General features: G+C 38.1%; 1 long non-coding RNA gene across 1 annotated transcript in view; it reads right to left on the bottom strand.

Annotated features, from left to right (window-relative positions):
- Positions 1-6,382: 6,382 nt before the first annotated feature.
- LOC102724227 (uncharacterized) overlaps positions 6,383-22,303 on the bottom strand; it is a 64,172-nt gene continuing 48,251 nt past the window's right edge. The window contains exons 5-6 of the long non-coding RNA XR_001749032.2: positions 10,011-10,424; positions 6,383-7,540 (exon numbers count right to left, since the gene is read on the bottom strand). This is a non-coding gene — a long non-coding RNA (uncharacterized LOC102724227). The remainder of the gene's footprint in view (positions 7,541-10,010; positions 10,425-22,303) is intronic.

The raw sequence follows: 22,303 nt of genomic DNA, 5'->3' as shown, positions 1-22,303 counted from the left end.
ATGAAGCAGTGGGGAAGTTCATTGACAAATTTACCAAGGTCATCACTGATGAAAATCTTACATCAGAATGAGTTTGTAATGCAGATGAAATGTCACTGTTTTGGTGTTATTGCCCCAGAAAGACACAGACTCCAACTGATGAGACAGTGCCTACAGCAATTAAGAATGCCAAGGACAGAATAACTGTGCTGCGATGTGCCAATGTAGAAGGCATGCATAAATGTAAACTTGTCATGATAGGCAAAAATGTGCATCCTCACTGATTTTCAGGATTGAATTGCTCACCAGTCCATGATTATGCTAACAAACAGGCATGGATAACCGGGGTATCTCTTCTGATTGTTTTTACAAACATTTTGTACCAGTAGCTCATGGTCACTGCAGGGAAGCTGGACTGGATGACAACTGTAAGATTTTGTTATTATTTGACAAGTGTTCTGCTTATTTCCAGCTGAAATTCTCATAAAAAATAATGTTTATGACAAAAAATGGCAAAGTATGGTGGCTTACTCCTGTAATTCCAGCAATTTGGGAGGCTGAGGCAGGAGGATCACTTGAGGCCAAGAGTTCGAGACCTGTTGGGCAATGTAGTGAGACCTCATCAACAGTAATAGTAATAATAAAATAATATTTATGCCATGTATTTTCCACCAAATGAGGCTTCATTAATTCATCCATGTGATCAGGCTATCCTTAGATCAATGAAGAGTAAATATAAAACACTTACTTGAACAGCATGTTAGCAGGAATGAACAGAGATGTGGGTTTGGAAGGTTTTCAAAAGCACTTTAGCACGAAGGATGTCATATATACTGCTACCAACGCTTGGAACACATGATAAAAGACCCAGCTGTGCATGCCCGGCACAACCTCTGTCCTGCAACTACGTTCAGTCATGACAATGAACAAGGTGGTGACTTTGGAGGATTTTGTATGTCAAGTGAGGAAAAACAGATGTCTGACTTCTTTACGTATGCAATAAATATACGTTCAGAGTTTTTGTCAGTAAGTGGCAGAAGTGTACATTGAAGAAGTTTCAACGTCAGTAGTGAGGCTCCAGTTGTTTATGTATTGACTGATGGTGAAATAGCTCAAATAGTTCTGAATCAAGGTGACCATGATATGAGGAGGACGTTGTTAATATTGCAGAAAAATTGTCTATAGGCAGCATGATGAAAATATGTGATGGGCTTATTGAAGGACTAGCACAGTGTGCATTTGTAACAGAACAGGAAATTGCGTCAGTTTATAAAATCCAAGGGAGGCTCCTGAGATGAAAAAATTTTGTTAATAAGGCAGATGACTCTGGGGGAAAGATTTTCTAAAAGCCATTCGGCAGAATGTCTCCTCAACCCTAGAAAACTCAGTTCCTGGTTGCTCATCTGCTTCTGATGTGTCTTCTCATCTAAAAAAATAAAATGTGGTGTACAGTTACCTTTTAATCAAAACATAGCATTGGAGGTGGAGACTGAAGGCCTGTTGTTTGCTGTTGCTGTTGTTTGACAACTGATATAGGTATTCTGGTGATGCTGCTGGAATGCTCACTTACCCTGAAGACATTGCTTTTTCATCATACCAATGGTGTATTTACCATTATGTGTGAATAAGTGTAAGAAAATGATTGCCTATTGGTAGTGTGTAAATTCAGAGTGAGGAATGATGGTGGTGCTAAACAACCACAGACTGTCCCCATGGGTGGCTGAGATGATGACGCCTTTGCTTTCTGATGGTTCAATGTCACAAACTTTGTTTTGTGCTCAAAATTATTAAAAATAGTGTGTAAAATTACCTTCATGTTTATGTGTATGTGGAGTGAATAAAATATAAATGAATTTTGTGTTTGGACTTACGTCCCATCCCCAAAATATCTCATTATGTATATGCAAATATTTCAAAATATGGAAAATTCTGAAATCTGAAGCACAAATATTTCCAAATCTGAAAAAAATCTGAAATCGGAAGCACTTTTGATCCCAAGCATTTCTGATAAGGGATATTTACTGTGTATCATTATCTGCATTTTACACGAGAGCAAACTAAAATTTAGAATTTAGGACTAGTCAAGGTCACACAGCTAGTAAGTAGTGGAAACCAGCTCTGTACAGTTTCAAATTGTGTGTTTTACCCACATTTCTTGTTGCTAAACCTTCCAGGAATGACCAAAGAGCTCGTTTTAATCTTTCTGTTTTATAATTACTTGTAAAAGAACCCAATCTTTGTTAAGTTACTTGGGTTATTTAGATTTTTTCTTAGCTTAGAAAAAAGATCTTACGTTAGTTGAAGGCATTAGTACATTTCTAAATATTTTTCTAATGTTTTAGTAATTATCATTAAAAAATCTGCATTTCTAGGTTCCTTGGATCTACTGGACCCATTGCAACACAGAGTCACCGATTATCCCTTTCTAGCAAGACAGCATAACCTTGGTGCCCTTAATCATCAGTTTCTCAGCTTAGCCACTGAATAGACTTAGAAGGATATTTAGTAGCTGCTGCTTCAGGGAACATAATTGTTGCCCCATGCTTTATTTCATAAGCTGAAATTTTTTTGGACCCACCTAGCTTCACAGTTTAGTCTCTATATTTAGAATAGAATTTAGAAATGAGTTGGCAAGTAGCTAGTGCAATAGATACTATATGGCATATATCCCTACATGTGGTTGAGCAAAAAATCCTATTGTTTAAAGCACTATAATAGAATCTATCAAAATGGAGATATAGTCCAACTCCTGGATCTCCTCTGTTTATAACCAGTAAAAAAGGGAAAGCTTTTTATTTCTCATACTCAGTCTGCTGCAGAGGATTCTCATCCAGATGAAGTGAGAAGGCAATTTACTTTTTTGTTAAATTTGAAATTTTAGATTCTCCAAATGCCAAAACGTTTTTTAAAATCAATTTTTTTTTAGTTTTCTCAATTTGAGGTCATCTGAAATAAGAGATCTTTCAGGAGAAATAATGATACTTTATATATATATATGTATATGTGTGTGTATATATGTGTGTGTGTGTGTGTGTGTGTGTGTGTGTGTGTGTTAGACTCATTTTGGGAAGAAAGGTTCACTTTCTTAGACAATTGAGATTCTTTATAGTAAGGGGAAATTAGTTTTCTCTCCATTTCCCTTCCTATGGTAGATACATAAGAGTGGCTTGTTGGCAAAACACACTGTTCAGGGGCGAGGGTAGGAGATGGAGAGTGAGATTTTTTAGTTTGGTAAGTGAAATTACTCTATCCTGAACAAGACAGGATGTTTTCCTTCACAGAAGGGGTACAGTATTTTTTTTTATGAGCAGGTAAATAATATAGAGCTGAAAATCAGGAAAATCTTGAGCCCAATCCCTGGATGCTTGTGGAGGAACAGTTCTGGAGGATCTAGATTTGAGTGGTGCTGGTTATTATGGAAATTGCCAGAGATTTTAGGACCCTTTCGATGAGACTTTTTGTCTTAATTTTAAAAGATAATAATTCTGTTTAATAAAAAATGTAATACCCACCACCATATATATTCATACTTAAAAGCCTTCTAGAAACCACGGGTGGTAATAACGTGCATTTCAATTTATATTTATTTTACTCTTTCCTCAAATGTTTCTGCCTATGTGGGAGGAGGGTCAGGTAGGAATGAGATGGGAGGGAATTATGTGTTTACCTTGTTTGGTGTCTCATTTTATTGTTTGCTTTTCTGCAACTTATGATGTATAGGCTGGAATTTTCAACCTTCATAAAAGAAAAGGTAAGTTCGTTCATAATATGATTGGAATATGAAATAGAGAAATGAGCTGAAATTCACCTTGGTTTATGATAACAGGCCATTTGCTGGCAAGACAGCCAGTTTTATTGGCAAGCCTTTAATGAATGGACTTACAAGAGGAACAAAGAGAGATTGCTCTTCCCCGAATCTTATCATCTTTAGTCCGTGTCTTCATGATGACATTCGACGTCTAGTTGTTTCAGCTCATCTGAGTAAGTGCTTATCAGTTCTGGATCATTAATTCAATTCCCATACGGGCCAGTCGGCTTTGTTTAGTTCTGTGACCACAGGTTAACTCTGAACTGTCATCTTGCTATGGATGCCATTGATCACGGAAGACAGAACCAGAGATTGTGAGTGAATAAGCACAAATTCATCATCATTGCCAGAGTGGAACTCAAAACACAGGCCCAGCATGGCAAATTAGTTTGAACTTTTGTGTCTACAAAAGAAAATAATGTCTTTATTTATGTTGGGATTTAAGGTCTATTTAGTACTTTTAAGTTAGCTCATTTAAACCTCACAATAACTCATCGAGGTAGATATTTTCTGCCACTTATGAGAAAAGGAGACTCAGGTTAAATATGGCAGAAGGGAAAAATGATGTACTTTGGGCACTTTAGTGTTCGAAATCTAGTTTTGATCATATGTAATAGTGTGAGGTGGGAAGAGATGCTTCGTTTTTTAAAACAGAGTGAAAAATATTTGCCTTACGTTATAAAGGTTAAAAGAAATGATATATGCACTCAGTATTTAGCCTAGCACAAAGTATTTTTATTAAATGATCTGTTTGAGATCACACAATTAGTTAGGTGGCAGTACTAGGGCTTGTATGTGGGTGCTCTGACACCAGGTAGAGGGCTCTCTCCCCTACATGACAGCTGATATTGTGAGAAGTGAAGGATAGAGGTGGAAAGGTCGTCATCATTTATCTCTATACAGTAGTTCCCAAGCCTGCCTATGTGTCAGATGCTCTTATGGTGGGGGTGTGCGAGTCTCCTCAAATCTGTTTTTCACTTCTTCCTGGGCACATTGCAGTCCAGATACAGACTATGTTTCCCAAACAAATGATTAAGTTGTTTTCATGAGAATCAGGGTGGAAGTGGTGTGGGCAACTTCTGCCCTACTTGCTGATATATAAAACTGCTGAGCTTGAACCTTTAATCTTTCTCTTCCGAGAGTTGTAAAGTGAATGTGACAGTGGCTGCACTTTGACCAAACAAGGGACATTACGTTTATAAGCGCTTTTTGATTGTAAGTGGGCCCCTTGGATGAATAAGATGGAAGGAAATTGGGATCTTTAATGATTAGGCAGAGCCCAGCTATCCTGCCAATCTGGATCCTGGTGTTAGGACAGTTAAGTGAGAAAAGAAATACATTTCTTATTGTGTGTGTGTGTGTGTGTGTGTGTGTGTGTGTGTGTGTGTGTACTTTTTTTTTTTTTTTTGAGAGGAGCTCTTTGTTGCAGGAGATTAATCTTTACCCTAAGCCAATTGAGGAGCTTTCAAAAGTACAGATTTTCAAGCCCTAACAGACTTATGAAATCACAATAATCTTTGTGAGTGAGGCTCAGGAATCTATGTTAGTAAAACATATTGATGTATAATAGACTTGAAAACCCCTGGTCTCTATAACAAAGACTTCTCTCTTTGGAAGTCTTCACTCTTTATAGAACAAGAAAGATTAGGAGAAGAGAGGAAAACCTAGACAGAAGAAAAGAGTAAATGAAAAGAGAGAAGCTAAGACAAGACTGAAGAAGTTTCCTAGTATTTCTGGTGTCATTCCTATTTTTGGATCCAGTTCATTTTTAAGGCTAACTTAGCATTCCTGCTCTTGAGATACTTGTATGTCCTTAAAACTATGAAAGAAAAAATATTTTTTGAGAAGTGGTCTTGCTCTATTGTCCAGGCTGGAGTGCAGTGGCACACTATTGGCTCACTGCAACCTCTGCCTCCCGGGCTCAAGTGATCCTCCTGCCTCAACCTCCAGGGTAGCTGGGACTACTGGCATGTGCCCTCACACCCAGTTAATTTTTGTAGAGATGGAGTTTTGCCATGTTGCCCAGGCTGGTCTCAAACTCCTGGACTTAAGCAATCCACCCGCCTCAAGCTCCCAAAGTGCTAGAATTACAGGGGGGAGCCACTTTGTCCAGCAATAAAATACTTGATCCTTCAGTTTTCTCTGCCTTCCAAGGAGGTGGCTACCTAGTCCCATCGGTGAAGCATACAGGCTGGGGAGCTACACATCTCAATTCCTTTCGTGTAAGAAAGGAAGCTCGGGTCTAAGTCCCAGAGCTTAACTGGAGGGACTGGAAGAGCTGGACTTGGAGAGAGAAAGAGAGACTGTATCGAGAGAGAATATTTTGAAAGACAATGGAAGTTTAGCTACACTGTAAGAAATATAAATCCTCTTTGCAGTCTTCTCACAAAAACTTCAATAACACATCTTTTTGTGTGTGGATCATACATTGAATAGCTGGATCTATGTGATCTATGTTTGGATGTCTGTGATATTTCAAAGTACTAAGTCCAACTTGCAGGTTGGTGTGAGGTGAGATGAGTGTTTGTCCAGAAGGATCCAACCAATATTTGTTGCAATGAGTTGTTTTCTGTAACTGACAACTAAAATTAAAAAAGCACTGATTAGGTTGGTTTGTATGGGCATAGGTACAAACTTAGCCTTTTGGTATAATATACATGCTAATTTATATATACCAGTTGTATTTTTGATATCCATCTCTTCATGATTTTTAATATTGGCCCCTGTATGTTTATTTGCTGTATACCTGATACTTACACTTGAGATATCGAATAGAGTTTAGGAAGAAGAAAACAACGCCAGCATTTTCAACTGGGTGTAATAGTCATCTTTATCTTCCTGTTTTAGACTGCTAACTCATACTATGATGAACAGTCTCATTTCTCTTCACAACAGCTGCATTTTATGGATGTAGCTTGTTATGTTTGTAAAAAGCCCATAGGTTACAAGTTGGCTTGTGTGCAAAGTGCTGTGATTAATGATCATTTTCAAAATGACAAGTGATAAAGCACTTGAGGATGCAGTGGATGAGAGACAACCTTGTAGCCTTATTGGAGGTTTCTGCATCTTCTAGTTACTATAAAAATAACTTTTCAAAGATGGGCTAGCCCTCACATCCTCCAAGACATTAGAATGTGGGATAGTCACATCTTCTCTTGTCAAAGAGCTGTTGCTTTAGTCAGATAAAGGTCGGAGGATGTACATGATACTTGAAAACTGTAGGAGACTCTGTACCATAATACATTATTGTTTCTATCTTTTGCATTTAGGCTATAAACCCATAAAATCCAGGATGCCATTTTATAACCACAAGACAGTATATTCAGAATTTCAGGAATATCCCAGAAGTTTTAATAAAGAAGACAGTGCTGAGACATTGATTTGTTTGTGGACTGTTTTGCTGTTGTTATTTTGTTTGGCTTTGTTTTTATAACTTTTCAGAGGAGGAGAATAACTGCTTGTACTGCTATAGCTTTTCCCCTGGACACCCATGTGGGACATATTTTACATGAACTACAGTCTCTTGTTGGCAGTAACTTCCTTTCATTTCACTGCGTTATTAAGGATCCTTTTCTTCAAACCATCTCTTAAAATTTACATCTGGAATAGGAAAATAGAGGATTCTAAATATGTCTTTGAAAATTAATTTTATAGTAAGTCTTTTTGCCATCCCGGGAATTGAAACTTAGCTGCAGAGTCTCTTTAAGTGGGCTCTCTGGATGCAGGGCAGGCTTCAGTCGGTGAATGAGAAGACTGTATTGAAAACAAGGGAATGTTAGTGATGGCAATCAGCAAGCATTAAACAGCTCATGTTTTAAAAAATGAGCTCTGAATCAGAAGTCATAATCACTCAGTCACCTGCTGGGTTCATTTGCCCTTCAGAGATAAGGACATCTCAAAGTGTAGAACATTTTAATAGAATAGCGGCAGACAAGCTTGTTACTTAGAATTTTATTTGACAGGCTGGAGCTTGTTTTCAATATTCTTTTTCTGAATTACATGAAAAACTTTATTATAGGGTACATTGTGGAGGCATAAATTGTAGATGATATAAAAATAAAAAAAAATTTTTGTTTCTCTGTTTCCTTACAGAGATTATCTTCCTGTGGCTGTGACTTACCAGATCCCATGATAATGCAATTAAGCAGTCAGTTCATTTAAAAAGGTTACTCTAATATCAGGCTGGAAAAATAAAATACCACAAATAGATGTGCCTTTTGAGCATGGAATTTGGTAAAATATACTTGGTAGAGGGATTATAGTGAAAATGGTAAGGGAATTGCAACTAATGATTATTTTTTCTTTGTAAAGTCTTTATAAAGACTTTCATACAAAGTGACTTTCCAATCTTGTCTTCTTAGAGAATAACAGGATTAACTTGGTTATTAATTTTTATCTTCGTTGAAAATTTTGAGCACATTTACTATTTCTGATAAGAGGAAGAGTTCACCATTCTTCTGACTTTCAATCTGTGTTCATGAATATATAAAGTTCTGCCAATTCATCCATACACAATTTGACCTACAGTTCACGAAAGCAAAGCAGACTGAATTGGATGGGAAATGATAACTAGTCTTCCATAATGTGTTCTTTCTCTGCTTAGGAAGAGACAATATCAAAATGGTGTCTGAATACTCCATTGTAGGGTACCCTGGACGTCAAAATACCATCTAGCCTTGTTTCTTTATACACATTCCAAATAGCATTTCCTCTATCCTTTTGAACAGTATCATAAATCATATGCTTTTATACCTAATTTATAATTGTGATTATATAACTGTTAATTGTAGAAAATTTAGAAAAGGTACACAAAAATCCTAAAATTCTACCTCCATACATAAATGGTATTAACGTTTCAGTCTCTTTCTTCCTTCCTCTTACTCTCCTCCCCATCCTTTCCCCCTCCTTCCTACATTTCCTTTCTGTCAGATTAAATTAAATTGTAAATAAAGAGGACAATCTTATATAATGCATCAGAGGACTCATCATTCTACCTGGCCACTATGGTCCATCCGTTTCTTAGGTGTGTGTTGGAAGTACACATATATAGACATTAGCCCAGTATTTAGGATGTAGCTAATGAGTTACTTAGATACTTCTTCTTCTTTTATTTTTATTTTTTAAATTTATTTTATTATTTTATTTTTTTGCTACTTCCTATATAGAGTTTTCACATAGGGCCTGATACATAACTCATAACTTTGGCATTAGAGACTGGATTAAGTTGCTGCTCTTATGAGACAGTATCTTATCTTGGCTTTAGCATGGGCCCAGCTCATGGAGAGCTTCTGGGAGGAAAGAGCAAAAATGTTTACTTTTATTTTTTCATCTCCAGGCCAGTAAAGAGCTATACAAAGGAAAATGGACTATTTATGAATAATGTAGTAGTAAACAGTACAAGTTCTTCTGTCAGACAGACCTGGTCATGATCAGTGACTTTAGAGAAATCTCTTAAGTTCTAAGCTTCCATGTCTCCATCTGTATCATCTGTAAACTATAGATAATTACAGTGTCTAGCTCACAGGATTCTTAGTGAGCATCTATCTCTCTCTGTACCCCCTCATGTTTTATAACATATTCCTCCAAAAGAAGCTGCTATATTCATTTTGACAGCGGTTAGGGTGCCTTAGGTTGAGTTCCTGGAAAAAGGCTCAGAACAGCACTGAAAGGACGAAGGGAGGCAGGAACAGGCAGAAGGAAAAGATGATCTGTGATGTAGTTGCCACAAGGCCACAGGCAATCAATTCCTCAGGGAGCTGTGGTCTGGGATGGCCATTCAAAGTTGTTCCAAAATGAGGCAAGGGTCTGGACTTTTATACCCCTGCATTGGGCAGCCATTGGATGTGGCCTGCTCCAGGGAAGGGGGAATGAACTTGCATTAGGTGTCTCCCCTTGACTGAGGATAGTTCCCAGAGAGAGATAAAGCTTTGAAGTGTCAGTAGTCAACATTCTTGGCAGCGGTGGAAATGAGTGCCTCAGTCCCAAAGGGGATATCTGAGCAGTGCGCCACTACATCCTCTACTCTCCACCCCTTATGCTGCTTGGATCCACTTGCCTCTCAAAGTATATTTCTCCTGTTTAGAAATAGATTCTCCAGGATTGTGTGTGTGTGTGTGTGTTTTAAAGTTATTTCCAGGGAAAACTTACAGGATAAACTTAGTTGGAAGAAACCACAACCCCCACTGCTGCTGCTGCTAGCCTCAGGGCTGCAATCAATACTCACCTTCTCCCTCCTCTGTTATCCATTCTAGATGTTTTAACTCTCAGCTAGTACTTCTGCTGGTCTGGTGGCTTACTTGTGGACAGCCTAGACTCTTCTTTCTTAGAGATTTGAGTTCCTGGTCATCACGCTTTTCTTAGGATGTGGCTGTTGCTTTTGTCCATTTACCATCAACATTTGGCAAGGGGAGTCCCAAGTCAAAGTCCAGAACCAAATGTCTTCCTCCTGCTGACATGAGCAGTTACTTCTTTGTGATGTTCAGGATCAATTACACCTGTCACTGTGACCCTTTCCTTGGTTCTGATTACTTGGCACATGGATCCTGAAGTGACCGGTAAGAGGCATAATTTACTGTATTCCCCTGTGAAAACATTCATCCTCTTGGAACCAGAACTTCTACACTGGCACAGTCCAAATCTGTAGGGATGAGACACACAAATTCTCTAAGTGGGTCATGGGAGTGACGTAAGTAGGGCCACTCCTACTGCCACACTTTACTTCTAGGGTTCATGTGTTTTAAGTAGCTGGGGACTCATGACCATGAAATAGTCATTGCTTTAGGGCACATGCTGTGTCCTCAATGATGGTGCCTCATCCTCACAGGCATCTTCAAGGTGATGTCTTACCTATGCCTTCAAAGACTGTCCCATTGCACTTTCAGCCTGAACATTTCTGGTGGTGTGCTTTGTAATGGGGGACAATTATTCCCATGGTCATATGCTCAATGCTATACCCACTCTGCTCTAAAATGAGTCTCTTCATCCAATGCAGTGTTAAGGTGGATTCTTATGTCAGTGGGTCAAATACTATTTAAGTTCTTGTAGACGGGTACCGGCCAAGACCTGGTGGGCAGGAAAGACAGTCCATATTTGGAATGTGTTTTGGTCTTAGTCAAGAAGGGCTACCACCTCTTTGAAAGTTGAAGGGGTCCAATGAAGTCAAATTGCTGCCAAGTAGTTGATTGAGTCTTTTCTAGAAATGCTGACATTCAGGGGCTTCCCCTAGGGAAGGGTCAAGGCAGCTCCATTCATCCAAGGGTAACTTTTGGAGGGCATGTAGTTTTGCTCCTGGCTACTAGAGGAATGAGTATCTCAGTCCTGAAAGTATTCTGAGTGGCACACTACAGCATCCACTACATATAGAAAACAAAACGAATTGGCTTAAGTTAAAAAAAAAAACTGTAAAGGGAAGCTTATTGGAAGAATTCTGGCATAAGGCATGGAATCTAAACATGTGTTGAACATCTAGAAAGGCAGGAAGCAGACTGACTCTAGAGATTTCAGATGAATAAGTGTTGCTGTTAATTTGATTCCTCTTCAATAACTGCTAATCTTGTTTTGAATTTCTCACTCTCCAATTTTGAATTCTTACGATAGAAAAGGTGATTGACTCAGTTTAGGCCAGGCATCTTCCCTCAATCAGTCAATATAGTCATTGAGGTAGAATCATGTTTCAGAGATATGGCCTCAAAGAACCCATTCTACCTAGGGAGGGTTTACCCAGATGAGGGGGATTCACTGTGAATCTAGCAGCCTGCCTAAAAGGTATTTAGTTATATTTTCCCTTTTATTTCTCATGAAGATATGAAGTTTTTACATTTTTGCAACCGTATTTTTTCAAAACCAAAATTTATTGCACTTTCTGATAATTTTGGCATATATTGCCTAAGTTACCATTATGTATCCTATATAAAGCCAAGGTGCTCATAGCTCAGTCCTGTGTGAATTGCAGTTCAAGAAATATTTTCTGTAGCTAGGGATTTATTTCTAATTGGATTAATTTGAAGCATTTCAAATCTTTACTATTGTTAATGGAAAATATATACACTGAGGGGAAAGTAAAGCATGTTATACTGCAGAACTCACCAAAGCTCCTTCAAAAAAAAGCTTTTCTATTACAATTCTTGAAAATTCCAAGGGAAATTTAGTGCCGATGCTCTGAAAGTCCCCTTACATTTCTCCTTCAATATCTCTCTTATGGTAGATTGATGACATTGATGATGTCATTACATTGATCCGCTCCCTGCATCCACACCTGTAGTAGCTTGTTACATTAATAGTCCCTAATAATCATATTTCTCTGTATGCACACCCTCCTAAACTGATCCTGGGCTTGGTTCTGTGATTTTTCTTTGACCACACAACTTGCTTTGGCTGATGGGACTTTAGCAATCATGACCACAAAGCACTTGTGCAATAGAATATGCCCTCTCTTGTCACTTTTGTAAACCAGCCATCATGAGAAATCCTGGGTTACTCTGTCGATGATACACGATCCAGCTGATAGCAAGCACCAACTCAGACACATGTGTCAGGACATCTTACATTATCTAATCTCAGCTACGTTGTTGGTTGAGCCTCCAGAAGAGTAACTCTGAATAGTAAGCAAATTAAATGGCAGTTGTGTTATGTTACTAAGTTTTGGGGTAAATTTTTAATGGAGCAGTAGATATTTAACAGAGTACCCTCTGCCTTTGACTTTATATTTTCTCTTGCTAACAAGAACGAGTCTATTTTTACCTCTCTTAATTCTGGTTTGTCCCTGGGACTTGCTTTGAACAACGAGATGTTAGCAGATATGACGCAATAGAGGCTTTAAAAAGTACATTTGTGTTTTTGCTATATCTCTTGCTTCTCTTTGTTATGAAAAAGCCTGACTTGCTGGAGAAGAGACCCAGTTCTGAATTGCTCCAGCTCCCACGGAGGCTATCCAAGATCAGCTGATTCGCAGCTGATGGCCAGACACGTGAGTGCGCCCAGCTAAGGCTGGAACTGTCATGCCAACCTCAGTCTAAATTGATAACCCACAGACGTGTAAGCTCAATAAATGCCTATTGTTTTGAGCCATGAGTTTTGGGGTAAATTGTTATGCAGCATTACTATGACAATGGATAACTAATGCATCTCTGTTGCCTAAATGTTATGCACTCACGGCAGCTGCAAAAACACTGTCTTATCTATCCAAATGTCCCCATATGGTCCTCTCACTGCTCTAATTTTCTCAGTTCATCATCTTTTCTCAAGCCCATCTTAGTGACTCAGGTCTGAACTTGATTATTTAGTCCTGTTCCCAAAAGGCCTCTAGCATCACCTGCTACCTGATGAGCTTCATAAGTCTGAGATTTATGCGGCCTCTCAGTTTGATGATGAAACTCAGAATTTTTGAATAATTGATGGATAAAAATCACATTCACTGGGACTGATCCAATCAATTCTAATGCTGCTTGATAGCTGGCCCACTGCAGCAGTCCCTCCAACAGAAACACAAAATGGAACATTTCTTCTCATTTTAATGTTAATCATGAATTCCATATGCAAATTCTTGCTACTTCATACCCTGCTATACTAGCTTTCTAGGGGAGGGAAACAGTCTACCAGGGACATAAAGAGTCTGGTGTTTTTGATTCCTGAAATAAATGTAAATGCTGGGTCCTATATGTTCCCACTCACTCCTCTAGTATTATCAGTTACTAATATTTGCCATCTTTCCAGCATTTTCAGTGTTGTGTGCCAGTCATGAGTCAAATGACTCCCCCTGAGGTGGGACCATCTGGAAATTTCTCTATTTATGGAATCAGTAGTCTGTATCCATGTAAAGGCTACGTGGACCAGTTGAAAGACCGAGAGCAGCCACCGCGTCTCCACAGAGCCAGTCAGTAAAGCAGAAATACAAATTTGAACCAGTCCAAGCGTGTCTGATCTTTCTCTCTTTCTTGTGCCAAAAATAATTCTAATTTCTTTTTTTTTTTTTTGAGACAGAGTTTCACTCTTGTTTCCCAGGCTGCAGAGCGATGGCACAATCTCAGCTCACTGCAACCTCTGCCTCCCAGGTTCAAGCAAGTCTCCTGCCTCAGCCACCCAAGTAGCTGGGATTACAGGCATGCACCACCACACCCGGCTAATTTTGTATTTTTAATAGAGATGGGGTTTCTCCATGTTGGTCAGGCTGGTCTCGAACTCCCAGCCTCAGGTGATCCGCCCGCCTCAGCTTCCCAAAGTGCTGGGATTACAGGCGTGAGCCTCCACACACGGCCAATAATTCTACTCTCTAAAATGTAGTAAGTATGGCCGGGCGCAGTGGCTCACGCCTGTAATCTCTGCACTTTGGGAGGCCGAGGCAGGTGGATCACGAGGTCAGGAGATTGAGACCATCCTGGCCAACACAGTGAAACCCCGTCGCTACTAAAAAAAAACCACAAAAAATTAGCCGGGCGTGGTGGCGGGCACCTGTAGTCCCAGCTACTCAGGAGGCTAGGCAGGAGAATGGTGTGAACCCAAGAGGCAGAGCTTGCAGTGAGCCGAGATGGCGCCACTGCACTCCATCCTGGGTGACAGAGCGAGACTCTGTCTCAAAAAAAAAAAAAAAAAAAGTAGTAAGTATGCATTGTGTCTGGGTTCAAAACTAATATTCAACTTTGTGAGTGAGCTGTTTATATGTTCTCATTTAGTAAATTCATGAAATGTTATGTGATATTGGTCTCTGCCTGGATCGTCCATTCTTGAACCATGCTTTCTCTCATAAACTGCAATTCCAAGCTCAGCATGATCTCCTCAATGCCCCTCTGAATCACCCATGCTAGTCTAAGCTGCTCACCCAGCTAAATGATTATTAACATGAAAGGGCAAATTCCTGTTTATAGGGATAGTTTTTCCTCAAATTCAGAATATAACATATTCATGTCATACATGTGTTATTTAACATACTTTTTATGATAAATATTGTCATCCTTGAGATTAAAAAATCCACTGCATATAAGAAGTCTTTGTTTCTGTAAGATATGAATAATACATTATTAAAAGCAGTCATAATCATTGCTCACTTAACAGAGTAATGTCTATTTCAGTTGCCTCAATAGGGCTTAAGATGGGTTGGATCATTAACAGTATGGAAAGGAACTATAAGTTTAATGTATAAGATATACTATAGTGTCCAATTGGTTTTTTAAAGGCTCTTTTTCTGATTCTTGGCAACAATTAAACTATACTTCATGTGGTACTGAATTAACCAGAAGTAGCAGGATCATTTTACACCTATAGTTAGTACTTTTCCTATTTAAGGTGAACTGGACTACGGTATCTCTAGAAATATTCTGCTTTGCCTAAATGATGCGTTGCATACTAACTGCAATGCAATGCCATTTTCCTGCTGATCACTCTGTATTGTCCTAGATGTCTTTTCTCTTATGATTGGCCGCCATTTGGCAGTGGCTACTTAAGCCACTTTCCTCATAAGAGAGTTCAGTAAATAAACACTTAAATGCACCAGGGGTGTAGCTTTTACAAAGTCCTTGGTAATTCACATAATCACCCCCTAATGTTTTATAAGAATCTTTGAGCAAAGCTTGCTGTTATACTGTCCCATGGGGTAAGAGCACTTCCCCCAAAGATAATGTGAACACATGTTTTAAAGTCTATTACATGGTTTGAAGTAAATGGTATGTAGAGGGAAAAAATAATAAAGTTCAAATAAGCAAGCACACAGTTTTCAATAACATTGGACGATTTCTACTGAGAATTGATATCTAAAAGATTCATGGCATGTCAATTTAACAGAAGGAAGCACAAGCCAATGGGAAAAGTTGAAAGAATGAAATTGACATAAGCAAGAAAAAAGGAGGAGGGGTTCTCCAAACAGGGTGAGTTCAATATTAAAAAAAAAATCAAATAAAATCAAGAGGGTAGGATTTTATAAAGTATTCTTAAGTCCCTCGTCTTAATAACTTCTCCTTTCCTCTCCCAGGAGGCCTGCATCTGTGACAGTAATATTAAATGTCAAGTGTTGCGACAAACGGTGATGCCCTTTCATTGCTCTCATCACCTATTTATGCTAAGCTTATAGAAGGCTTCTCTGATTAGAAGTCATTGACAGAGAAGCTCAGCATGGTTTCTTTTGAACAGTCATAAATAGTTGAAGACTTGCAGTATGCATAAAATTAGAATTCCTAATAATTTCCCAGCAGAGAAAATATCATTTTTTTATAATTTAAAAATATACTCAGCCATAGGTTTAAATACACCATACATTCAAATCTTAGCATCAGGCTAAAATCTCTTCTATTTAATATTCAATTTAATGTTTAAAGCCATTGGATCAGATTCTTATGTCAGATGTCTTCTTTGGTTCTTATCTTTGGAGATTATATTACTTTGATGTTACTGGGAAAGAACTATGGCATCCGAACACCTCACAACTGGCATGGCCTTAGATTTTTGCTTTGCCTAAGTTCCTGGAAGAACCACTTCTAACGCTAGGTCTCCAACTCCATTGCCCACACAATACCACTACTCTGTGTCCAAGGATACTTATTTTTAATACAAATATTTTTCAGTGGAATCATAGCCTGTCATTTATTTATTATTTTCTTTTAATGAACAGAAGAATTTGAATCCTTCCGGCTCTTTTTTTACCAGCTCTGTCAGTTTTAATCAAGTTACTAGTCTTCTTTGAGCTTCAGTTTTTTATTTGTTAAATGATATTAGATAATTTCTCAGGTCTCTCCAGACACTCAGATATTATATGCTACGCCTTTCACTACTGAACATGTTACATTTAGTATCAGAGAAAAATTTATTGGACATTTTTCTGTGAGTCCATCTTTCTATGAACTGAGTCTTCATAGCTCATAGAGCTGGTTAAAATATCAAAAACCAGAAAAGGTCATAGTGTTTGGCTATCCTGGATGAAAACTGAACTTCTATGGGTGTTCACCATTTTCTTGGACAATTATGGCAACCTCTTCTTGATATTTCCTAACTGGGAACTACCTTTTCTCTTCTGCCCAGTAGCATAGGGTTCTTTCCCCTATGTAAGTTTCACAGAGCCCCTTGCTGGTTAACATCAAGACAGCGGGAGTGGGGTGGTTTTAGACTGAGCTCACTGTAGAGAAAAGTTTGTAAATCTAGTGGATTTAGAAATTGGGCTGAGGTGGTCTCCAGCCTCTGGTGGATATGAACTTCCCTTCTTATTCTCTGCCATCTGTTTTTTATCTGGGATAGTCATATTTCAGATTCTGAGACTATAGTCTTTTCCCCCCAACAACATGTGCAGGTGCGAAACACCATGATTCTTGTCTTGAGGAACACACATCTAGATTGTGGTAATACATAGATAAATATGCTGTTGTGGTTTAGCTCTATTAGACATTGTAAATATCTAGACAAAAGGACTTGAGCAACATTTGGAACACGTGCATGTGGGGATCTAGCCATAAGCCACTGAGTTCTGATATTTAGTGAGGGCAGATGGAGGGAGGGGGAAGTGATTTTTTAGGAAAAGATAGTGTTGGAAAAGTGATTCCCGAGTTAGGCAAATACCATCAAAGCATTTGAGCGTGATTTGATTTCTTCACTTTTTAAAGATAAGAACAAGGTTAAGGACATTAGATAATTTGTCCAAAGTCATATAATTAGTACGTAGCAGTAGATTGCAATATTTAAATTCATTTCCATATAATTTCATAAGACATTATTTTCCTATTATCCAAATGCCTTGGTGCCACATATATTTTGGGTACCAGAATTTAGAAGACAATACAGTGCAAATATCACGTACTATATAAACAGTCCCAGCAAGGCCTGGGGCTCCCTGTAATCAAACAGATTCATATTTTGGCAGAAAAACAATAACGTTCACCTAACGTGAGATAAAAAATGTCTGTAAATAGCCTTACGCGAATGCAGGTCAGGTTTTGCAGCCAAATGACTCAGGTCATTTCAGCTTCGCTGCCAAAAGAGTTTGGAGCTTTAGAACTTTTTGAATTTCAGGATTTTAGATTTAAGAATCATGCCCTTGATCATTAGCCTGCCTGAGTCTATTGAGGGAGTTTTGAGTGGGCTCTGGACCAAAGCTAAGTTTTCTGACTGGGGAAACTGTCTCTATCCCAGGCCTCCCTGCAGCCCTATCTGGACTGGTGAGTGTCAGGACCTGCAGCTCTCACCCTGAGGGGCATAAGGCCCAGGGGCTTCTCCCTGAGCAGCGAGAGGTGAGGGTCTTTGGAAACACGCAGTGCTCCATGGCAAGGGAGCCTCTTGTGGCCATGTTCTCACTGCATCTTTAACATGCTTTGTGACCAGAGTTTACAGAAGGAACTTTTCAATGATATCACATTTTCTATTATATTTGGGAGGTCACTGAAAAATATCGGACTTAAATCTGTATAAATTCGCATTGCAGCTAAATTCAAAGAAGCATATCTAATTTGAAAAGTGATGGATATCTATTGTTAATGAGCTAAAGCTGTGTTATGCTAAGGTTATTTGAAAATAGAGTGAGATTAGAAGTGGAAGTGACAGTGTTTTTTCTTTTCCATAGGCTGGGCTTCTGGGACAGGAAAAAGCTATTATGTACCTGAAATATTTTAAAAACTGATGTATGGTATAATCACTTTCAAAAAAATACACTATTTGAAATATAACTAGTTGATAGCTTTTTTTTTGTTCTATATCTCCAATTGTTTCTATATCTTAACATGGTAGAAACATTAATACTTTCTAAATTGTGATTGAACATGAAGTTAATGTTATGAGGATATTAAGAATTCATGCCATGACAGCAGTCTGAAATATAGAGGTACATTATGTTGTACCCAAAATAAATTTGACCTTGGTGCTTCCCATGCATTAATCACTTTCTTCTGGGCACAATAATAGCAGAACACTAACTGGATATGAATAATGGATGCCAAATTTTTAGACCAATTTTTAGCTCTTTAGTCTTTGTATGAACACAAAATGAGGTTAAATTAAGATTCTCATTCTGTTTCAAGTGCCCAAATTTAAGATATTTATAATTTATTAGGCTTAGAGGTTTTTCATTAGTATAAACTAAATAGCTGCTACAATAAATGTATGGCCGTATGGATTAAAACAGTATTCTATAGGTGTGTTGCCTTACCTTAGGTCTATAATCAAATTCAGATTGATCAATTTAGGTGATATGAACTGATTTGTGAAACCTCAACAGAGCACAAAGGATAAAGTAGCACATAGGATAAATCTATACCATGATAGGTGAGAGCAAATTCATGTAAATGAGAATAATCAAAGACATATCTGATGATAGAGTTAATCTAATTATGAAGTTTTAAAATCAAATGAAGTCTTTTTCATGAACTTAATGACTGAAAAGTATATATGCTAAGAGTTAATTATATCTTTTGGCTGGATAAAGACCAGTATCTTATGTTCTCTAACTTAAGAACTAGAACCTGAGATACTGGTCTTTATCCATTGTATTCTCAGGCATAAGAGTATAACTTGAACTTAATTTAACTTTGATATGCTCAACATTGCTAGATTTATTTTGTTTAATAATCATAAACTTTATCAATGATAGTTCCTGAAGTACCTTAGTTTTTGTAATCATATCATATACAGCAGCTTCATCATGTGCCTCAACTTCTTTGTAGAACAAAATAATGGGAGGTGAATATAAATATATGAATAAAAATAGAAAAGCTAAGTCAGTTTCTATGATGGAGAAAGAATACTTCTATATTTATTTTGCATTTAGAGAAATAATGTTCAATAGTCAATTCAGTTATTATTGGACATTGCTTTTCCTACTAAAGTTTGATTATATAGAAATGTTCAAAAGATGTTTACCCATAAATTATATTTTCCTTCCTGCTACCAAGATATCTATTTTGAAATTCTCCTTTAAGGCTCTTTTTGGCTGCCTCTTCATTCTTTATGAGGATTATTTCTGTTAAAATAAAATCAGCAAAAGATAAATCTTCAATCATACATGAGTAAGTGACTAAAGTTTATAGTTTGCATTAAAATTAGAGCCTAGAGCTAGTTAAGAACTGTTTTATGATTAGGAGATGTTTCAGTTTTCTCAGATACATTTTCTCCTGAAGGAATGTGTGGGTCTGTTCTCTCAGGATGGTCTCAGTATCATGCTGGTACCTATTATTTACATACATCTAAGTAGAAAATATTTTTAAAAATCACTGTGGAATGAGGGTGGCATGTCTCAGTGTTGTTTTCAGTTTGGGGCTACTCATCATGATTATTATATTATATATTAAATTCTACAGTCAATAAAACATGGATATTTCCTAATTTAATTAGTCAAGAAAATAAAAAATAATACAGGGCATGATATGGTTTCTAGTGAACACACTATACTTTCTTGAAACAACATAGTAGTGGTGATTTACTATGCATTTTATTGATGTCATCAGCAGATGAAACAAAATCACAGTCCTTTCTTGTGAGATGATATACCATGCAGATTGGGAAAAGTAATCCAGCTGCAGAGGCTGACAATCAAGAGCAATTAGTAAATGGTTGTTTTAAATAAAACGTTTTAAATAAAGACTATGTCAAGTACTTTCAACACGTGCATGTGCACTGATTGCTAAGTCTTGCTTTAAAAAGGGCCTTCTTCTCTGAGACTTTAGCCACTCAGTAGCCAGTACCAAAATTGTGACCATGGATTCTTAAGTGGATCACCACTTTCCAGGGAAAAGAGCTTATAAATTGAACTTATTTATATGAACTACACATGACATGAAGTCACTTTTTTTTTTTTTTCTTTGAGACAGAGTCTCGCTCTGGCACCCAGGCTGGAGGACAGTGGTGAAATATTGGCTCACCGCAGCCTCCACCTCCCGGGTTCAAGCAATTCTCCTGCCTTAACTTCCTGAGTAGCTGGGATTACAGATGTGCATCACCATGCCCAGCTAATTTTTGTATTTTTTGTAGTGACGGAGTCTCACTATGTTGCCCAGGCTGATCTTGAACTCCTGGGCTCACGTGATCCACCTGCCTCAACCTCCCAAAGTGCTGAAATTACAGGAGTGAGCCGCTGCTCCTGACCCAAAGTCACATTTTTTATCAGCTCCTAAGACCTACTATAAAGCTGGCCGTATTGCAATAAAATAAGAGCTTTTCTATATCTTATATAAATCTTGTTCAGAATGTTCATTTGGGAATATAGGTTATCTTTGTCTAGACTTGACTCCCCTGATATGGCATGACAGTAAAATCCTGTAAATGTATAATAAAAATATGAAAGGAAGAGAGAAACAGTTGACAAGACCACTTTCATTCTCTGGGTAGTTTATTCTGTCCTGCACACCATTATAATCAGAAAGTTTTAATAACGTGCATTCAATATTTTGTTATATCAGTCTAAGATTGTTTCATGCATTAATTTCCACAATAAATGGGTTATACACAACTATGGAACAAAGCCGATCCAGTCACTAAGCTGGGGATTTCTTTTGTAGGGGTGTAATGTTAACTCTTGTAACCTTCCTTTTTCTCTGCTTCCATTGCTGACAGATCCCTTTTGCAACTATTCCTTCAGGAGTAACATTAGTTCATCTATTTTTAAGATTTTGAGAGTCTTCATAACATTCCCTACAGATCAGTAACAGAACTTAGAAGTCACCTCCAATGAACTGATGAACTAGGAGCATTATAATATTGGAAAACAGATCACCTTATAAAAAATAAGATAACAGATACTCCAGATGGGTCTAGTTGGGGCCTGAATTCAAGAATTCATAAGGGTAAACAATTGTCAAGTATTTGCCAGAGTGGGCCATACACAGTTCTGCGGAGCGAGAGTCTTTATTTAATATAAGTTTTACAATCAACAGTGCTTTAAGAAACCATTGTCGGCCAGGCAAGATGGCTTATGCCTATAATCTCAGCACTTTGAGAGGCCAAGGCAGGAGTATACCTTGAGGCCTAGTGTTCGAGACCAGCCTGGGCAACATAGTGAGACCCCATCTCTACAAAAAATTTAAAAAAAATAGCCAGGTGTCGTGTTGCGCACCTGTAGTCCCAGCCATTCAGGAGGCAGAGGCAGAAGGATCACTTGAGCCTAGAAATTCAAGGCTGCAGTGAGCTATGATCTCACCACTGCACTGCAGCCTGGGCAACAGAGGAAGACCTTGTGTCCAATTAAAATTAAAAAATCATAGTCAATGGTCAATTAGAAAGAGATGTGGGGTTGATGAAGTTCACAGCAGTATTTCTTGAATTATGGAGAAAAATGGGTCTCCAAGATGGCAATAGGGGCTTGGTGTGGTGGCTTATACCTGTAATTCCAGAACTTTGGAAGGCTGAGGCAGGAGGACTGCTTGAGCTCAGGAGTTCAAGACCAGCCTGGGCAACATAGTGAGACCCTGTCCCTACTGAAAGGAAATTTTAAAATGATGTTAAATGAGATGTCTTCCATGGACTCAGTTATGACAATCATGCCATTGGTAGTTATATCCCAGAATCTGGCCTCATTCCCTACTTTAATTGCCAAAACCCAATACTCATACTATAATACTA

Source organism: Homo sapiens, chromosome 12, assembly GCF_000001405.40.
Source record: "Homo sapiens chromosome 12, GRCh38.p14 Primary Assembly".
Classification (NCBI taxonomy): domain Eukaryota; kingdom Metazoa; phylum Chordata; class Mammalia; order Primates; family Hominidae; genus Homo; species Homo sapiens.
The sequence above is the reverse complement of the archived record's forward strand: the minus strand, read 5'-3'. Positions and strand labels throughout refer to the sequence as shown.